Source organism: Homo sapiens, chromosome 17 (assembly GCF_000001405.40).
Source record: "Homo sapiens chromosome 17, GRCh38.p14 Primary Assembly".
NCBI classification, from domain to species: Eukaryota; Metazoa; Chordata; class Mammalia; order Primates; family Hominidae; genus Homo; species Homo sapiens.
In genome coordinates, this window is record NC_000017.11 from 17,642,503 (window position 1) to 17,663,984 (window position 21,482).

Genomic DNA, 21,482 nt, shown 5'->3' on the forward strand with positions numbered 1-21,482 from the left:
TGCTTGTGGTTGGGAAGTAGGATGGGAGGGGCAGAGACAGCTTCATTTTGCTGTATCCGATAGTGGAAGTGCTCTTCTCCCGACACCTGCCATGGCTGGAATCTTCTCACCATTCAGGTCTCAGCTCAAATATTACCTCCTTGGTAAGGCCTTCTCTGACCACCCTGGGCTCAAGTAGCCTCCCCAGGCCCACCCTCAGCCAAACCAATGGCACGTTTGCAGCCTGCCCCACCCCCACCCCCAACCTGGCCATGAGCTCCACAGGACAGGGATTTGTCTGTTGTGTTGGGTATTGAGTCCATGGCCGTGGAGCAGTGGCCAGCATCTGCTGGCTTGATCCTCACCGGGATGAAGAGCAAGGTAGGGCAGTGGCTCCACTGGGCTCCTCCAGAAGCAGAGCCTGGGATAAGGGCAAATAGTTAATTTGGGAGATATCCCCCTAAAATTCTTTTTTCTTTTCTTTTTTCTTTTCTTTTTTTTTTTTTAAGAGACAGAGTCTTCCTCTGTTATCCAGGCTGGAGTGTAATGACATGATCATAGCTCACTGCAGCCTTGAACTCCTGGGCTCAAGCGACATTCCTCAGCCTCCCAAGTAGCTGGGTCTACAGACGTGCACCACCGTGTCCACCTAATTTTTAAAATTATTTTTGGTAAAGACAAGGTCTTGCTTTATTGCCCAGGCTGGTCTCAAATTCCTGGGATCAAGAGATCCTGCTGCCTCAGCCACCCAAAACACTGAGAATTCAGGTATGAGCTACCATGCTTGGGTATCCCCCAAAATTCTAATGTTGAAGTCCTAACCCCCAGAACCTCAAGAGTGTAGTTGTCCCTTGATATCCACGAGGGATTTGTTCCAGGACCCTCACAGTAGATACCAAAAATCCAAGGATGCTCAAGTCCCGTGTATAAAATGGCATAGTGGCCAGGCGCAGTGGCTCACGCCTGTAATCCCAGCACTTTGGGAGGCCGAGGTGGGTGGATCACCTAAGGCCAGGACTTTGAGGCCAGCCTGGTCAACATGGTGAAACCCCGTCTCTACTAAAAATACAGAAATTAGCCGGGTGTAGTGGCACACACCTGTAATCCCAGCTACTCGGGAGGCTGAGGCAGGAGAAATGCTTGAACCTGGGAGGCAGCAGTTGCAGTGAGCCAAGATCGCACCATTGCACTCCAGCCTGGGCAACAAAAGCAAAGCGCCATCTCAAAGAAAATAAATAAATAAATAAATAAAATGACATAGTATTTGCATATAACCTAAGTGCATCCTCCCATGTACTTTAAATCATCTCTAGATTACTTATAATGTCTAATACAATGTAAATACTACATAAATAGTTGGTATACTATATTTTATTTGTATTTTTGTTGTTGTGTTGTTATTTTAAATTAATTTTTTTTTCTCGAATATTTTCAATCCATGGTTGGTTTGATCCCTGGATACCAGAGAGCCAACTGTAACCTTATTTGGTGATAGGGTCTTTACAAAGGTCATTAAGTTAAAATGATGTCAGTAGGATGGGTCCTAATCCAGTACGAGCCATGTCCTTATCAAAAGGGGAAATTTGGACACACACACACATAGAGGGAATTCTGATGAGGTGAAGAGACACAGGGAGAAGACGGCACTGATACGCTGAGGAGAGAGGCCTGGAATAGAGCCTTCCCGCACACTCCTAGGAAGGGCCCTTCCTTGCCAACACCTTGATCTTGGCCTCACGGCCTCCAGACCATGAGAGAGTGACGTTCTGTTGAGGCCCCCAGTCTGTGATGCTTTGTTACAGCAGCCCTGGCAGACTAACACAGGCACCCACTGCACCTGCACAGACAGGGCCGTGGATCCCTTTACAGGTGAGAAGGCTGAGCCAGGGGAGGGAGGTGACTTGTCCCTGGTCACTCAGAACCAGGCAGGCCACAGACCCAGGTCTCTGAACTCAAGACAGGAGGATCAAGCCCCCAATCCCAAGCCCACCCCACTCCCCAACATAACCCCAGTGGCCTGACGATGGGCCCCTGACCAAGGGTAAGCATTGGAAAGCCCAGCCTCGCTCGGGTAGGCCTGGGGACAAAGATGCACATGCACACACCCCGCTCAGGCCTCACTGGGAAGTGGATGTGGGGCAGGGAGGAAGTGGGGGCCTTTGGGACACATGGGAGCAAGGTGGGCTTCCAAGACAACACCCACCACCAAAAATCACCAACCCAGATGTGCCCAGGCACCAAACCCCAAATGAAGGTCTGACCAGAACGGCAGCTGATGAACACTGCCCAGGGATGCAATCGCTGATTCAGCTCACGCTGAGCTCAGCCCCAGGGCCCCCGTGCCCTCAGTGAGCTCAGCATCTTATGGAGGACGTGTGTATGCAGACAGCCGCAGAAGAATGCTTATTCCTGGGACAGGTCAACGCCTCAGAGCCTGTGGGAATCCGGGGGTGCCCTAACCAGAACAGAGTGTCAGGGAAATCTCCCTGGAGGAGGTGGCCCTGGCATGAAGTTTTGAGAGACAAGGAAGCATTAACTGCCACAGTGAGACACCACTTGATGGTCACTACCAACAAATGGGAAATATGTGTTGAAGAGATGTGGGGACCTAGAACCCCCGTGCGCTGCTGGTGGATGTGTAAAATAGCAGCCACTATGGAAGATAGTGTGTTGATCCCTCAAAAAGCTAAACATAGGCTGACCACATGACCCAGCAATCCCACTCCTAGGTGTATACTCAGGAGAATGGACACATCCACGTGAAGACTTGTACATGAGTGTCCATAGCAGTATTATTCCTAACAGCCAAAGATGGAAACGACCCAGGTGTCTATCAACGGATGAACAGGCAGATAGAATGTGGTATGTCCATACAGTGGAATATTATTGAGCCTTGAAAAGGAATAAAGTTCATTTTATTTTACTTATTTATTTATTTATTTTTGAGATGGAGTTTTGCTCTTGTTGCCCAGGCTGGAGTGCAATGATGCCATCTCAGCTCACTGCAACCTCCGCCTCCCAGATTCAAGCAGTTCTCCTGCCTCAGCCAGCCAAGTAGCTGGGACTACAGCCATGTGCCACCAGGCCTGGCTAATTTTTTTGTATTTTTAGTAGGGAGGGGGTTTCACCATGTTGGCCAGGCTGGTCTCGAACTCCTGACCTCAGGTGATCCACCCACCTCACATCCCAAAGGGCCGGGATTACAGGTATGAGCCACCACGCCTGGCCAGTTTTTTAAAAAAGGAACAAGGTTGGTCGGGCCTGGTGGCTCACGCTTGTAATCCCAGCACTTTAGGAGGCCGAGGCTGGTGGATCACCTGAGCTGTCAGGAGTTCGAGATCAGCCTGGCCAACATGGTGAAACCCCGTCTCTACTAAAAATACAAAAAATTAGCCAGGCATGGTGGTGGCATCTGTAATCCCAGCTACTTGGGAGGCTGAGGCACGAGAATCACTTGAACCCAAGAGGCAGAGGTTGCAGTGAGCCAAGATCGCATCACTGCACTCTAGCCTGGGCAACAAGAGCAAAACTCCATCTCAAAAACAAACAAAAAAGGAATGATGTCCTGATCCATGCTACAACATGGATGAATCTCAAAAACATTTGCCTAAGCAAAAGCAGCAGACACAACAGCACATATGAGTCCATTCATATGGAATGTCCAGGATGGGCAAACCCACAAAGACAGAGAGCACATGCATGGTTGCCAGGGGCTGGGCAGGGGAAATGGGGAGGTTCAGGTTTCCTTCTGGGGTGATGAAAAGGTTCTGGAACTAGATAGTGGCAGTTGCACAACATCGTGAATATCCCCCAAACTACTGAATTGTACTCTAAAATGGCTACAATGGTGAATTTTATGTGAATTTTACCTCAATTAAAAATTTCAGAAAGAGGCCGGGTGCAGTGGTTCACGCCTGTAATCCCAGCACTTTGGGAGGTCAAGGCAGGCAGGTCACCTGAGGTCAGGAGTTCGAGAGCAGCATGGTCAACATGGTGAAACTGCGCCTCTACTTAAAAAAAAAAAATACAAAACTTAGCGGGACGTGGTGGCACGTGCCTGTAATCCTAGCTACTCGGGAGGCTGAGACAGGAGAACTCTTGAACCTGATGGAGGTTGCAGTGAGCCGAGATCGTGCCATTGCACTGTCCAGCCTGGGCGACAGAGCGAGACTCCGTCTCAAAAAAAAAAAAAAAAAAAAAAAAAAAAAAAGAAAGAAAGAAAAACAATTCATCGGCAAAGAAGGGAGAAGAGAGTCCCAGGCAAGGGAAAGGGCCGGCACAGAAGCCAGCAGCGCGGGATGGCTTCTGGGAGCTGCAGACTGCCCAGAGCACTGGCAAGAGAGAAGGCTGGACACGGCCCTGAGTGCCAGGAAAGGGATTTAGAATTTCCTCTGCGCCAACAGGCAGCCCACGGTGGCTCTTCAGCAGGGAAATGGAGTGGTCAGATTTGCACACTGGGAAGGCTTCTAGGGCTTCGAAGGAGAAGGGGGATGTGCGGGGAGGGAATTGGAGGTGGGTTCAGGGGCTGAGAGGGGGAAGGGTGATGTGGGGGTAGGGATAATTGGAGGTGGGTTCGGGGACTGTGAGGGGGAAGGGGATGTGAGGGTGGGGATTGGAGGTGGGTTCGGGGACTGTGAGGGGGAAGGGGATGTGCAGGGGAGGGGATTTGAGGTGGGTTCGGGGCTGCAGGGGGAAGGGATGGGGCCAAGGAGTTAGGAAGGGGAAGTGAGGAGAAGTGAGGCACTAGGAAACCCAAGATTGAAGAGAGGGGACGTGGGAGGTGAGGGAGAGAAAGGAGGGAGACAGGTTAGTGGCTCAATACTGGGGCTCACCAGGGTGGAAAGCCCTAGGGCAGGAGCGCTCTGGGAAGAAGATGAAGAATAGGTCCAGAATATGAGTCGGAGGTGCCTGAGAGACATCCAGGTAGGGACAGGAGGGTCAGCCTAAGGGGAGGGTCTGGGCTGGTGACAAGACCCTGGGCTCAAATCTGAGGGCTTGGAGAGTACAGGTGCCAGATGATTGAGATCTCCCAGAACGACAGATCTGAAACCTTGTGACACCAACAGCGGTGGTTTCATGGGCTCTGAAGCCAGTGGCCTGGGCTCGAATCCGAGCACTGCCATTTACAAGCTGCATGATGTTGGGCGAATTACTGAATCTCTCTGAGTCTCCTTCCCCTGTTTCTAAAGTGGAAGGAATCCATTCCTATCTCACAGAGTTGCTGGGAAGATTCAGTTAGTTAATATTTGCCCAGGGCTTAGGTCAGTGCCTGGTGACTGCTTAGCAAATGTTAGCTACTATTTAGTAGCTAACTAATGATTCTTATTCAAGAATCATTTAGGGATCTTATTAAAGAGAAAGAGTCCTGGGCCCCACCCCCAGAGATGCTGGCTGAGACAGAGTCAGATGTGGCCTGGGAATCTGACTTTGGTTTTTTTTTTTTGGAGACAGTGTTTTACTCTGTTACCCAGGTTGGAGTGCAGCGGCGTGATCTCAGCTCACTGCAGCGTCAACTTCCCGGGCTCAGGTGACTTTCCTGCCTCAGCCTCCAGAGTAGCTGGGATTACAGGCATGCGCCACTGTACCCGGTTAATTTTTGTATTTTTTGTAGAGATGGGGTTTCACCATGTTGCCCAAGCTGTTCTCAGACTCCCGGGCTCAAGCGATCCGTCCACCTCTGCCTCCCAAAGTACCGGAATTATAGGCAGGAGCCACCGTGCTCATCTGGAATCTGGCTTTTAACAGGCATCCCCCAACCTACCCTATGTCATTGTGAGGCAGGTGGTCACTGGACCTCACAGCCTTAGTGGAGTGGAAGGAGTAGACTACAGGGTTCCAAGCTGCCCAAATTTTGAGGGACAGGCTGAGAAGCCCAGGACACAGGACAACGCAGAGATGTGGGAGGAAAACTGGTGAGAAAGGAGACCCAACAAATGACAGAGGGTGGGCTCTCGGGAGAAGTGGGGGAGCCACGGGGTCGCATGCTGCTGAAAGACCCAGCTAGAGAGGACAGAGGAGCCTCTCTCCGGGGAAATTGACAATAAGAAGGTGGCTGGTGACTCTGGGAGGAGCTATTTCTGAGAAGTGGTGGAACCAGGGCCAGAGAGCCATGGCTTCAGGACTATGTGGGGTGCTACGGACTGCACTGTGTCTCCCCAAACCCCCATGTTGAAGTCCTAACCCCCGGTACCTCCGAATGTGGCTGTATGTGGAGATAGGGCCTCTGAAGAGGGGATTAAGGTAAAATGAGGTCACACAGATGGCCTTAATCCAGTACGGCTGACACCCTAATAAGAAGCAGGAATTTGGACAGACACATAGAAAGGGAATACTATGTAAAGACACACAGAGAAGACACCGTCTACAATCCAAGGAGAGAGGCCTCAGAAGGCATCAACCGTGCTGACACTGCGGTCTCACATTTCCAGCCTCCAGAATTGTGAGAAAATTAGCTTCTGTTGTTGGAGCGCCCAGTCTTTGGTGCTCTGCTACAGCAGCCCGACAGACTCACGAGTAAGGCAGTGAGTCAGCAATGCTCTGACAGAGTCCAGATGCCACCCAAAATCTGGGCGAAGCCCCTGACAAGAAAGACCAAAGTCAACAAACAGAAAAAAGCAACTTGGTGAACTTTGATTATCTTCTTTTTTTTTTTTTTTAGACAGAGTTTAGCTCTTGTTGCCCAGGCTGGAGTGTACTAGCATGATCTTGGCTCACTGTACCCTCTGCCTCCTGGGTTCAAGAGATTCTCCTGCCTCATCCTCCCCAGTATCTTGAATTACAGGTGCCTGCCACCATACCTGGCTAATTTTTATATTTTTAGTAGAGACAGGATTTCACCATGTTGGCCAGGCTGGTCTCGAACTCCTGACCTCAGGTGATCTACCCACCTTGGCCTCCCAAAGTGCTGGGATTACAGGAGTGAGCTACCTCGCCCAACCAATTATCTTTTATGAATCTGTAAGATGGAGATAATATATCTTACAGCAGAATTGTAAACGTTCAGCAGAGCATATGGAGTGTATAATCAGTGCTCAAGGATCCTAAAGAGGGCCAGGTGTGGTGGCTCATGCCTGTAATCCCAGCACTTTGGGAGGCTGTGGTAGGAGGATCACTTGAGGCCAGGAGTTCAAGACTAACCTGGGCAATATAGCAAGGCCTCATCTCTACAAAAAGAATTTAAAACTAGCTGGGCTTGGTGGTGTGCATCTGTAGTCCTGGGAGATACTGGGGAGGCTGAGCGGGGAGGATGGCTTAAGCCCAAGTGTTTGAGGTTACAGTGAGCTATGATCATGCCTACAGTGAGCTAGGATCATGTACTCCATCCTGCGTGACAGAGCGAGACCCTATTGGAAGAAGAAAACTTCAAAAATGAGTGACAATCTCATCAATATCCTCAGCGAGATAAGAGAATTGCAACCACAAAACAAGAACAGGATGTAAGAAAAAAGGAATATTCAGAGAACAGAAAAGAGCCCATGAAAATTATCTACATATTATTAATATATTATTAATATTATCTAAATTATGTTATTTATATATCATATTTATGGACAATATATGAGTGGATATGTAATATATATTTACACTTACACACATACATATAGAAATTAAAACCTCAACATAAGGATTAGAAGATAAAATTGAAGGCTGGGTGAGGTGGCTCACACCTGTAATCCCAGCACTTTGGGAGGCCAAGGTGGGTGGATCACAAGGTCAGGAGTTCAAGACCAGCCTGGCCAACATGGTGAAACCCTGTCTCTACTAAAGATACAAAAAATTATCAGGTGTGGTGGCACATGCCTGTAATCCTAGCTTCTGAGGCTGAGGCAGGAGAATTGCTTGAACCTGGGAGGCAGAGGTTGCAGTGAGCTGAGATTGCACCATTGCTCTTCAGCCTGGGCCACAGGGTGAGACTCCATCTCAAAAAAAAAAAAAGAAGAAGAAGATAAAATTGAAGAAATGACATGGAAAATAAAAAAGATAAGGAAATGTCACAGATCCAGACAGAAGGATCTGAGTTATAGGAGAATATCTGAGTTATAGGAGTTCCAGAAAGTGAGAACACAGAAAATGGAGCGGAAGTGGGGCTGGGCGTGGTGGCTCACGCCTATAATCCCAGCACTTTGGGAGGCCGAGGCAGGCAGATCACGAGGTCAGGAGATTGAGACCATCCTGGCTAACACGGTGAAACCCCGTCTCTACTAAAAATACAAAAAAATTAGCCAGGCATGGTGGCAGACGCCTGTAGTCCCAGCTACCCAGGAGTCTGAGGCAGGAGAATGGCATGAAACTGGAAGGTGGAGCTTGCAGTGAGCCGAGACCGTGCCACTGCACTCCAGCCTGGGCAACAGAGTGAGCCTCTGTCTCAAAAAAAAAAAAAAAAAAAAGAAAATGGAGCCGAAGAAATCATCAATTATATAATCCAAGAAAATGTCTCAGAACTGAAGGACAAGACTTTACAGGTTGAAAGGGCTTACCAGGAAGCCAGAATAATGGATGAAAACAGATTCCTATCAAAGCATATCATTGTGAAGATCAGCAACAAAGAGAAGGTTCTACAAGTTCCCAAAAATGGAAAATATAAAAGGGCAGGTATGTGGGAAAGATCTTATACAAAGGAATGGGAATCAGACTGACTTCGTACTTCTCAGCAGCAACACTGGAAGCTAGAGAATGATGGAACTGTGCCCTTGAAATAAACTACAGGCATTCAATGCATAGCAACATTTCAGTCAACCATTGACTGCATATACAGTGGTGGTCCCATAAGATACCATATTTTTACTGTACCTTTCCTATGTTTAAATATGTGTAGGTACACAAATACTTACCATTGTGTTATAATTGCCTACAGTATTCACTACAGTAACATGCTGTACAGGTTTGTAGCCTAGGAGCACCAGGCTAGACCATACAGCATAGGGGTGTAGTAGGCTGTACCATATAGGTTTGTGTAAGTCACTCTATGATGTTCGCACAATGACAAGGTTAACTAATGATGCATTTCTCCTAATGTATCCCTATTATTATTATTATTATTATTTTTTTTTTTTTTTTTTGAGATGGAGTCTCGCTCTGTCGCCCAGGCTGGAGTGCAGTGGCGCGATCTCGGCTCACTGCAAGCTCCGCCTCCTGGGTTCACGCCATTCTCCTGCCTCAGCCTCCCGAGTAGCTGGGACTACAGGCGCCCGCTACCACGCCCGGCTAATTTTTTGTATTTTTAGTAGAGACGGGGTTTCACCGTGTTAGCCAGGATGGTCTCGATCTCCTGACCTCGTGATCCGCCCGCCTCGGCCTCCCAAAGTGCTGGGATTACAGGCGTGAGCCACCGCGCCCGGCCAATGTATCCCTATTATTAAGCAATGTGTGACTGTATTTCCAATCTTCATTTTATGCCCAGCCAAACTACAAATCAAGTAGGAAGGTAGATAGACTAAAGGCATTTTCAAACATGAAAAGTTTCAATAAATCTACTTCCCTTCCTTTCTTCCCTATTCTCTTTCTCATTTTGGTAGAGCACATCTTCCACCCTTCTCAAGAAAGGGAAATCCCAGGACAAAAAAAGCAGGAAATCCACCTCTGGAGAGAGACAAGAAGTGATCCGAAGGTGTTGCTTGAAGGAATAGCCGAATGATCTAATCTGTGCCCTGGGCAGAAAGGGCAGTCAAACCAGATTGGAGCTGGGCAGAAGGTCCCTCAAGTGATTTCATCAAGATGAAATTTATAGAACACACAATATGTAAAAAAGATGTGAGAGTAGATTCAAACTACTGGCAGAAGGCTTGGGTTTGAATTTGGGACAAGTACAACCAAACCAAACCAAACCAAACCAAACGCAATCACTTCTAGCTCCAGGGAGGACACAGAGTAGTGCAGGAAAGGACATTTCCTCTCTGTACCCTGTGTGGCTCAGCTGCCAGGGGCATTTACTTGGGCATGATAAATTGCACACTGGATATTGGTTGTGTTGGTTCAGATCACCCAGGACTCAGTTCCTGAGCTGTATTCAAGAGTGTAAGAAGCATATTGGTGAGGAACACCTGTGAACAATAAAAGGTGAGAGGCCGGGCGCTGTGGCTCACTGTAATCCCAGCACTTTGGGAGGCCGAGGTGGGTAGATTGCCTGAGGTCAGGAGTTCGAAACCAGCCTGACCAACATGGTGAAACTCTGTCTCTACTAAAAATACAAAAAATTAGCCAGGTGTGGTGATGCATGCCTGTAATCCCAGCTACTAGGGAGGCTGAGGCAGGAGAATTGCTTGAACCTGGGAGGCAGAGGTTGCAGTGAGCTGAGATCGCACCATTGCACTCCAGCCTGGGCAACAAGAGCAAAACTCCGTCTCAAAAAATAAAAATAAAAATAAATAAAAGGGGAGAAAGCAGGCCTTGGCAGGGGGGAGCCTCAGACCATGATGTAAATCTCCCCAGTCAGGAGCTCCAAAGCCAAGACTGCCCATTCTAGGAGTCCCATGCTAGACAAAGACAGCTCCAGGACCCCACTGTGCTCGGTCCCTGGTTGGGGGCTTCCCTGGTTAAGGAAGCAGTTATTTGGTGTATTTCTCCACATGTGTTGCTATAAAGGAATACCTGAGGCTGGGTAATTCATGAAGAAAAGAGGCTTATTTGGCTTCTGGTCCTGCAGACTGTACAAAAACATAATACTGGCATCTTCTTCCAGTGAGGGCCTCAAGAAGTTTCCACTCATGGTGGAAGGCAAAATGGGAGAAGGCATATCACATGGCAAGAGAGGAAGCAAGAGAGAGAGGTGGAGGTGCCAGGCTCTTTAAAACAACCGGGTTGGCTGAGCACAGTGGCTCATCCCTGTAATCTCAACACTTTGGGAGGCTGAGTTATTTACTTCCAAGATACAATGGTGGTACAGGGATTGGGTAAACATTCCCATTCCAAAAGAGAGAAATTGGTCAAAAAAAGGGGCAACAGGCCCCATGAAAGTCTGAAACCCAGCAGGGCAGATGTTAAATTTTAAAGCTCCAACATAATGCTTGAGTCTATGTCCGGCATGCAGAGCACACTGGCACAAGGGGTGGGGCTTCCAAGGCCCTGGGCAGTTCCACCCCCGTGTATTTGCAAGATGCGGCTCCCATGGCTGCTCTCATGGGCTGGAGTTGAGAGCCTGTGGATTTTCCAGGCTCAGGATGCAAGCTGCTGGTGAGCCTACCATTTTCAGGTCTGGAGGGCAATGACCCTTCCCCACAGCTCCACTAGCCAATGCCCTGGTGAGGACTGTATGGGGCCTCCATCCCCACATTTCCCCTCCACACTGCCCCACAGAGGTTCTCTGCAAGGGCTCCACATCTGTGGCAGGCTTCTTTCTGGGTACCCAGGCTTTATGATACATCTTCTGAAATCCAGGCGGAGCTGCCAAACCTCCTTCACTCTTGCACTCTGTGCACCTGAAGGCTTAACACCACATGGAAGCTGCCAAGGCTTATGGCTTACACCCTCTGGAGCAGCAGTCAGAGCTATACCCAGAGCCCTTTGAACTGACGCTGGAGCTGGAGCAGCTGGGGTGTGGGGAGCAGTGTCCCAAGGCTGCACAGGGAAACGGGGCCCTGGGCCTGGCTCCCAAAACCAGTCTTTCCTCCTAGGCCTCTGATCCTGTGATGGGAAATACTGTCCTGAAGACTTCTTTTTATTTTTTATTTTTATTATTATTTTTTTGAGACAGAGTCTCACTCTGTTGCCCAGGCTGGAGTGCAGTGGTGCGACCTCAGCTCACTGCAACCTCCTCCTCCTGGGTTCAAGTGATTCTTCTGCCTCAGCCTCCCGAGTAGCTGGGATTACAGGTGCCTGCCACCACGTCCAGCTAATTTTTGTATTTTTAGTAGAGATGGGGTTTCACCATGTTGGCCAGTCTGGTCTCAAGCTCCTGACCTCAAGCGATCTTCCTGCCTTGGCCTCCCAGAGTGCTGGGATTACAGGTGCGCCTGGCCCTGAAGACTTCTGAAATGCCTTTGAGACCATTTTCTCATAGTCTTGCCTATTAGCACCTGGCTCTCTTTTAGTCAAGCTAATTTCTCTAGAAAGGGCTTGCTCCACAGCCAGTTAGTATTCCTCTCCTGTAAATGTTCTTTCCCTCTCTACCATATAGGCGGGCTGCAAATTTTCCACAGTTTTATGCTCTGCTTCCCTTTTAAATATAAATTCCAATTTTAAGTAATTTCTTTGCTCCCATATCTGATCACAGGTTGTTAGAAGCAGCCAGGCCACATCTTGAATGTTTTGCTGCTTAGAAATTTGTTCCACCAGGCTGGGCACAGTGGCTCATGCCTATAATCCCAACAGTTTGGGAGGCCAAGGCGGGCAGATCGCTTAAGCTCAGGAGTTTGGGACCAGCCTGGGCAACATGGCAAACCCCATCTCTACAAAAAATACAAATTAGCCATGCATGGTGTCACACATCTGTGGTCCCAGCCACTCAGGAGGCTGAGGTGGGAGGATTGCTTGAGCCTGGGAGGTGAAGGTTGCAGTGAGCTGAGATCGTGCCACTGCACTCCAGCCTGGGTGACAGAGAGAGACTCCATCTCAAAAAAAATAAAAAAGAAAAAGAATTTTTTTCCACCAAATACGCTAGATCACCACTCTGAAGTACAATCTTCCACCAATCCCTTGGGCATGGACACAGTGCAACCAAGTTCTTTGCTACAGCATAGCAAGAGTGACCTTTGCTCCAGTTTCTAATAAAGTCCTCATTTCCATCTGAGACCTCATCAGCTTGGCCCTCACTGTCCATATTTCTGTCAGCATTTTGGTCACACTAGTTAACAGTTCTCTAAAAAGTTCCAAACCTCCCCTCATCTTCCTGTCTTCTTCTGAGCCCTCCAAACTCTTCCAACCTCTAGCCATTACCCAGTTCCAAATCTGCTTCCACATCTTCATGTATGTTTATAGCAACACTTCACTCCTTGGTACCAATTCTGTATTAGTCCATTTCTGTTGCTATAAAGGAATATCTGAGGCTGGGTAATTTATAAAGAAACAAGGTTTGGCCAGGCGCGGTGGCTCACGCCTGTAATCCCAGCACTTTGGGAGGCCAAGGCAGGTGGATCACCTGAGGTCGGGACTCCGAGACCAACCTGATCAACATGGAGAAACCCCATCTCTACAAAGAATACAAAATTAGCTGGGCGTGGTGGCACATGCCAGTAATCCCAGCTACTCAGGAGGCTGAGGCAGGAGAATTGCTTGAACCTGGGAGGTGGAGATTGCGGTGAGCCGAGATCATGCCATTGCACTCCAGCCTGGGCAACAAGAGCGAAACTCAGAAAGAGAGAAAGAGAGAGAGAGAGAGAGCGACAAGAGCGAAACACAGAAAGAGAGAGAAAGAGAGAGAAAGAAAGAAAGAAAGAAAGAAAGAAAGAAAGAAAGAAAGAAAGAAAGAGAAAGAAAGGGAGGGAGAGAGAAAGGAAAGAAAGAAAGAGGGAGGGAGGGAGGGAGAGAAGGGAGGGGAGGGAGGTTTATTTGGCTCACGGCTCTGCAGGCTGGTCAGAAAGCACAGGGCTTGCATCTGCTTCTGGTGAGGGCCTCAAGAAGCCTCTGATCATGGTGGGAAGTGAAGAGAGAGCAGGTGTGTCACATGGTGAGAGGGAGCAGGAGAGAAAGCAAAGGAGGTGCCAAATCTCGTGTGAATTCATTGCTGTAGGGAGGGACCAAGCCATTCATGAGCGATCCACCCCCCATGACCCCAACACCTCCCACCAGCCCCCACCTCATATACTCATATATATATGCACACACACACACACACACACGTGTGTGTGTGTGTGTGTGTAAAATAGGTATATAGGCTGGGCGTGGTGGCTCACGCCTGTAATCCCAGCACTTTGGGAGGCCGAGGCGGGCGGATCACGAGGTCAGGAGATCGAGACCATCCTGGCTAACACAGTGAAACCCCGTCTCTACTAAAAATACAAAAAATTAGCCAGGCGTGGTGCCAGGTGCCTGTAGTCCCAGCTACTCAGGAGGCTGAGGCAGGAGAATGGCGTGAACCTGGGAGGCGGAGCTTGCAGTGAGCAGAGATCACGCCACTGCACTCCAGCCTGGGCCACAGAGCAAGACTCCGTCTCAAAATAAAATAAAATAAAATAAAATAGGTATATATATATATATATATATATATATATATATATACACACACACATTATATATGTGTGTGTGTATATGTGTGTGTATATATACACATATATATACACACACACACACACACACATATATATATATATATATATATATATTTTTTTTTTTTTTTTTTTGGAGACAGGGTCTTGCTCTGTCTCCCAGGCTAGAGTGCAATGGTGCGACCACAGTTCACTGCAACCTCAACCTCCTGGGCTCAAGCAATCATCTTACCTCAGCCTTCCAAGTAGCTGGGACTACAGACATGTGCCACCACATGTGGCTACTTTTGGATCTTTTTTTTAGAGATGGGGTCCCACTATGTTGTCCAGGCTGGTCTCGAACTCCTGAACTCAAGCAATCCACCTGTCTTGGCCTCCCAAATTGTTGGGATTACAGGTGTGAGCCACAATGCCCAGCCCCCATATCTAATATTGGGGATCACATTTCAACATGAAATGTGGAGGGGACAAACATCAAAACTTTCTCACTCGGCCAGTGTATTCATTTTCAGTGGCTGCTGTAACAAAGCAATACAAACAAGGTGGCTTACAACAAATTTATTCTCTTGAAGTTCTGGAGCTGGAGGTCCAAAATCAGGGTATCTGAAAGGGCTGCATTCCCTCCAGAGGCTCTAGGGAAGGATCTTTTCCTGCCTCCCAGCATTCCTTGGCTTGTGGCTGCATCACTTCAATCTCTGCCTTAGTCTTCACATGGGAAGATGTGTGTCTCTGTGTCCTCCCCTGTTTTTTTTTTTTTTTTCTCTTTTTTTTTTTTTTTTTTTGAGACAGGGTCTTGCTCTGTCATCCAAGCTGGAGTGCAGTGCTGTATCCAAGCTGGAGTGCAGTGGTGCGATGATAGATCAGCCTTGAACTCCTGGCCTCAAGTGATCCTCCTTCCTCAGTGGTCTCCCAAAGCACTAAGATTACAAGCTAAATCCAGAATGATTTCACCTTGAGATCTGTAACTAATTATATCTACAGAGACCCTGTTTCTAAGTAAGGTCGAATCCTAACAGTCAGGTTGGACATGAATTTTGACACTATTCAACCCATTACATCCAGGGTCACACTGTAATCTACCCCCTCCCTCTCTCATCTCATCCCCAGCCTTTTCCACCTGGCCAGTGCCAACCTCTGGCCTCTGCTCTTTCCTTGGGGCACCCTCTTCCTTTCAACCCTCTACCCAGTCTGAGCCTGCTCACCCCTCCTGGTATCCTTCCCATGTCTCATGCTCTGCCTCTTCTCATTTGCAGTGGTGACCCCCCCTCAATTCCCACTGCCCCCCTGCATTGACCAAAGTCAAGTGGCCTACAGCCCCTGTCCCTACCTCCTTTTCATATGCTTTCCTGAATAGTGAGTCTGGAAACCTGAAATCATAGTCCCAGACTCCCTTGCAGCTCGGTTCTAGATGTGAACTTGGCTCTGACCATTAGATTCACTGACATGTGTGACCAGAATGCTTTCTGGTGGGAAAGTGTGGGAGAAGCTCCTCCCTGCTGCAAAGGCACGTGTCCCTACAGCAGTGTCACTGGCTCCAGCTGCAGCTTTGTGAGTGGTGAGAGGGTCTCACTCTGTTGCCCAGGCTGGCATGATCTCGGCTCACTGCAACCTCCGCCTCCCAGGTTCAAGCAATTCTCCTGCTTCAGCTTCCTGAGTAGCTAGGACTACGGACACCTGCCACCATGCTCTGCTAATTTTTGTATTTTTTGGTAGAGATGGGGTATCACCATGTTGGCCAGGCTGGTCTTGAACTCCTGACCTCAAGTGATCTGCCCATCTCGGCCTCCCAAAGTGCTGGGATTATAGGCATTGAGCCTCTGTGCCTGGCCAGCTTTTAAGAACAAAGTTTGCACCTGGGCAGTGCATGGCTCATGCCTGTAATCCCAGCACTTTGGGAGGCAGAGGCAGGAGGATCAGTTGAGGCCAGGAGCTCAAGATCAGCCTGGACAATATAGTGAAGTACCACGTCTCTACAAAAAAATTAAAAATTAGCCAGGCATGGTGGCACACACTGGCAGTCCCAGCTACTGGGGAGGCTGAGGCAGGGGGATCACTTAAGCCCAGAAGTTTAAGACTGCAGCAAGTTGTGATTGCCCACACTGCACTCCAGCCTGGGTGACAGAGCAAGACCCTGTCTCCATAAATCAATCAATCAATCAAGGTCGCACAATGTCTTTTTAGATACGACACCAAAGGGACAATCTGTGAAAGAAAGAATTAGTAAGTTGGACCTCATTAAAATAAAGAACTTCTGCTCTGCTCTACAAAAGGCTGTCAAGAGAATGAAAAGCCAAGCCAGAGACTGGGTGAAAATATTTGCCACAGACATATCTGATAAAGGGCTGTTATCCAAAATTTATGAAGAACTCTTAAAACTCAACAGTAAGAAAATGAACAATCCAGTTAAAAAATAGGGATGGATGTGGTGGCATACTGCTGTAGTCCCAGATACTAAGGAGGGTAGGGCAGGAGGATTGCTTGATCCCAGGAGTTCAAGTTCAGCCTGGGCAGCATAGCAAGACCCCATCTCTAAAAAACAAAAGATCTAAACAGACACCTCACCCAAGATACACAGAAAGCAAAAAGGCATATGAAAAGAGGCTCAACATCATACATCATCAGGTTAATGCAAATTAACACAACAGTGAGAGCCTCTACACACCTATCAGAATGGCCAAGATCCAGAATGCTGACAACATCAAATGCTGGTGAGGATGTGGAGCCACAGGAACTCTCACTCATGCTGGTGGGAATGCAAAATGATACAGCCACTTTGGAAGACAGTCTGGCAGTGTTATGGACTGAATGTTTTTGTTCTCTCAAATTTCGTATGCTGAAGCCCCAGCCCACTTTGTGACTGTATTTATTTGGAGACAGGGCCTTTATGGAGGTGATTAAGGCTAAATGAGATCATAGGGATGGGGCCCCAATCCAATAGGATGAGTGTCTTTATAAGAAGAGACATGAGAGCAAGCTCTGAGCTGGCTGCCTCTCTCTCTTCCCCACCCCACCTTGTGAGGACAAAGCGAGAAGGCAGCCATCTCTGAGCCCAGAGAAGAGCTGCGGGATTAAACCTACCTTGCCCACACTTTGATCTTGGACTTCCAGCCTCCGGAACTGTGAGAAATAAATTTCTGTTGTTTAAGCCACAAAGCCTGTGGTATTTTGTTATGGCAGCCTGAGTTAAGACACGCAATTTTCTTACAAATGAAACAGATTCTTACCATGTGATCCAACAGTCATGCCTCTTGGTATTTACCCAAATAAGTTGAAAACATATATCCACAAAAAACCCAGCACACAGATGTTTATAGCAGCTTTTTTCATAGTTGCCAAAATTTAGAAGCAACCAAGATGTCCTTCAGTAGGTGGATGGATAAATAAACCGTGGCACACCCAGACAATGAAATATTATTCAGCGCTAAAAAGAAATGAGCTAGTAAGCCACGAAAAGACATGGAGGAATATTAAATGAATTTTACTAAGTAAAAGAAGCCAATCTGAAAAGGCCACATACTGTGTGATTCTAAATATGTTACATTCTGGAAAAGGCAAAACTATGGAGACAGTAAAAAGGTCAGGGTTTGTGGCCAGGGCACAGTGGCTCACGCCTGTAATCCCAAAACTTTGGGAGGCCGAGGTGAGCAGATCACGAGGTCACAAGTTCAAGATCAGCCTGACCAATATGGTGAAACTCCATACTACTAAAAATACAAAAATTAGCCGGGCGTGGTGGTGCATACCTGTAGTCCCAGCTACTCGGGAGGCTGAGGCAGGAGAATTACTTGAACCTGGAAGGTGGAGGTTTCAGTGAGCCGAGATTGTGCCGCTGCACTCCAGCCTGGGAGACAGAGCAAGACTCTGTCTCAAAAAAAAAAAAAAAAAAAAAAAAAGTCAGGGTTTATGGGGAAGATGAATAGGCAGAGCACAGAGAAATTGCAAGGCCGTGGAACAAGTCAGTATGACCCATGGCATTATAACTACAGATGAACAACACCAAGAGGGACCCTAACCTAAGCCACGGACTTCCAGTGATAATGATGTGTCGATGTAGGTTCAGGACTGGAACAAATGTACCATCTGGCGGGGGGTGCTGACAATGGGGGTGGGGAGCTGTGCACATGTGGGGGCAGCAAGGACATGGGAAATCTCTGCAACTTCCACTCAGTTTGGCTGTGAATCTAAAACTGCTCCAACAAGAAAGAAAGTCTATTAAAAAAAATACATACATACATAAAGAGCAAAAGTTGATTTCTTGCTCATGCTACGTCTGACCAGGGAGCAGGAAGACACTACATGGTGCAGCCAGTCTGGGTCCAGGCTGACTGAGATTCTGTTTTGATGGGGTCTCACCAGCTCAGGGAAAGGAAAGTGAAGAATTGCACACCAACTCCGGAAGCTGCTTCCGGGAAGTGACATCCTCATTTCTGCTCACATTTCATTGGCCAAAGCAAGTTACAGACAGCCTTGACCTTGAAGCGCGTGAAGAAGCGCACTTCACCTTGGCTGGTGCCAGGAAGGAGAACTGGGGTGCTCATGCCCTCCATGGACCACCACATTCTGCTAAAAACACTCAGCATGGTGTGCACTGAGCCCTGCCTCACACACATGCGCACGTGCACACACACACACACACACACACACACGAGCATACGCACACACCCCTCCTGGTCAAGCCCCTGACGCTTTTGCCTGGTCTTTCCTCAGCAGCTGAGAACAAGGGCCCTCAGTTTTGGATGCGAAGCATTTCCAGATCGGTTGATCAAATATTTACTGAGAAATTACCAGCTGGGCACAGTGGCTCATGCCTGTAATCCCAGCACTTTGGAAGGCCGAGGCAAGTGGATCATCTGAGGTCTGGAGTTCAAGACCAGCCTGGCCAACATGGTGAAACCCTATCTCTACTAAAAATACAAACATTTGCTGGGCGTGGTGGCATGCGCCTATAATCCCAGCTACTCAGGAGGCTGAGGCAGGAGAATCATTTGAACCCAGGAGGCGGAGGTTGCAGTGAGCTGAGATCGCGCCATTGCACTCCAGCCTGGGCTACAAGAGCAAAACTCCATCTCAAAACAAAACAAAAACAAAAACATAAACAAAAAAGAAAATAAACTACTATATTCACGGCAAAGACAGATTAAGGACAAGGCAGTTGAAAATGAAATGACAGGACCTGAAGAAAAGTGTGTTTCCCAGAGCTGCTCTCACGAGCTCTCCGGGAGGTGGGAGGGTCACTCAGCCCCAAGCTTTGTGAGATGTTGGGTGTTGGTGTGTGGCCAGGTATATTTACGTATAATTTACATACAATTAAACTCATCAATTTTTAGCATACAATTCTATGGATTTTGACAAATGTGTCAAATCACATAACTGCCTCAAGCCCCCTTGTGGTCAGGTCAGCCTTTTCCCCATCCCCAGTTCCTGGCAACCGCTGATTAGTTTTCTGTCCCTATCATTTTGTCACTCCCGGAATGTCACATAATAGAATCCTGCAGCCTACAGCCTTTCAAGGCTGGCTACTTTTGCTCAGCATAATCCACTTAAGATTCACTGATATTTTTGTACGTACCAGTAGCTTGTTCCTTTTTTTTGAGACGGAGTTTCACTCTTGTGGCCCAGGCTGGAGTGCAATGGCACGATCTCAGCTCACTGCAACCTCCGCTTCCTGCGTTTAAGCGATTCTCCTGCCTCAACCTCCCAAGCAGCTGGGATTACAGGCATGCACCACCAAGCCTGGCTAATTTTGTATTTTTAGTAGAGACAGGGTTTCTCCATGTTGGTCAGGCTGGTCTCAAACTCCTGATCTCAGTGATCTGCCCGCCTTGGCCTCCCAAAGTGCTGGGATTACAGGCATGAGCCACCGCGCCTGGCCATTTGTTCCTTTTTATTGACAAATACTATTTCCTTGTCTGGACATACCGCATGTTGCCTCTCCATTCATCAGTGGATGAACAATGGGCTGTTTTCACCAGTGCACTTGCCTTGGAATCCACAAACTGCAAATGGCAGTGGCCTTGCCCATCCCACCCACACCGCTGCAGTGCGCGGCCTGCTCGTTGGGCCACAGATACATGAACCTCCACCTGCCTCAGGGCCTCTGCACTTACTGTTGCGATGCTTGCGATGCTCTTCCCATGACTCTGGCCTCCTTCCTCAGAACCTCTGCTCATAAGTCACCTCTCTGACCACCCTGTCCTCAGTTTCCACCCCATCACTCTCTGTGCCCTCCTCCTGCTGTTCCTTCTCCCAGCACCCACTGGAGTCTCTGGTTTTGTTTGCTTGTTTGTGTATTGTCCATCTCCCACCAGACTGGAGACTGGAGACCCTCAGCGGAGGAAGTCTCTGTTCATGGCTGTATCCCCAGGGCCTGACACAGAGTGGACTCTAAATATGAGTTGAGTGAGCAGCTGCTGGTACAGGATCACAGGAGGATTAAATGAAATAGCGAGTGTGAGTGCCCTTTGCAACCTGCTGTGCTTATTGAGGGGGAAACAGGCTGAGAAAGGTGCAGTGACCAACCCAGGGCCACCAGGTCAGAGCGATAGACACCCAGGCCTACACCCCTCCCTGGGCCACCCTCCTGTCCACCCTGCCTCAGGGCCAGCGTTCCTAAGGCACATTACACACACACACAGCCCACAGACACCCAGACCGCACACACAGCTCAACACCACACACAGACAAACGCCCTCAATGCAGACATGCCCAGCCTTGCACACACAGGAAGTCCACACACAAACACCAGCACACTGCCTTGAACACGCAGGAATAGCATTCACACGCCCATCCCCCTACACAAACACACAGGCCACACCCACACGCCAAAACACACCCCCAGCGTCAGACCTTGATGACTGACAGCCCAGGACTCCAGTGGGCTTGCGTCGCCATAACAACAGACGGCTCCGAGTCTTGGGCTGTGAGTGTGGTCGGGCTGTGAGTCACAGCTGCAGCAGACGCTCCGCAGAGCAGGAGCAGCCTGGCCCAGTGCGGACTCCCCAGTGCCAACCTCTTATGGACGCAGAGTGGACCCTCTCAGATGGGTGTGCAGTGTCCATTAGCATTACCCACAGGAGGGATGTGGCCCTCAGGTGTCCCCTGTGTGCCACACACTGGCGTGCGCCCAGAGCTTCACACACATTTTCTTGCTTAATCCTCGTGGTGTCCTCACCAAATCAGTGTGGCCAGGGAGACCATTTTACAGATGTTGAAACTGAGGTTCAGGTAGGGGAAGTCCCTTGCCTCACTCAGGTCACACAGTGAGTCACCACCAGGCCTGAAATTTGAATTCAGGTCTACTGAACCATGAAGGGTCCTCTTTCCACTGCCCTGAATCCAATCCAGGGGAGCTCCCAGCTGTGCACA

General features: G+C 48.6%; 2 annotated features.

The window, feature by feature from the left end:
• Nucleotides 20,601-20,690: an enhancer, noted in NCBI's record as "active region_11803". NCBI's record gives its function as "activates an Ori minimal core promoter by ATAC-STARR-seq in GM12878 lymphoblastoid cells {active_cell/tissue: GM12878}" and the evidence as "EXISTENCE:reporter gene assay evidence [ECO:0000049][PMID:35858748]".
• Nucleotides 21,181-21,320: an enhancer, noted in NCBI's record as "active region_11804". NCBI's record gives its function as "activates an Ori minimal core promoter by ATAC-STARR-seq in GM12878 lymphoblastoid cells {active_cell/tissue: GM12878}" and the evidence as "EXISTENCE:reporter gene assay evidence [ECO:0000049][PMID:35858748]".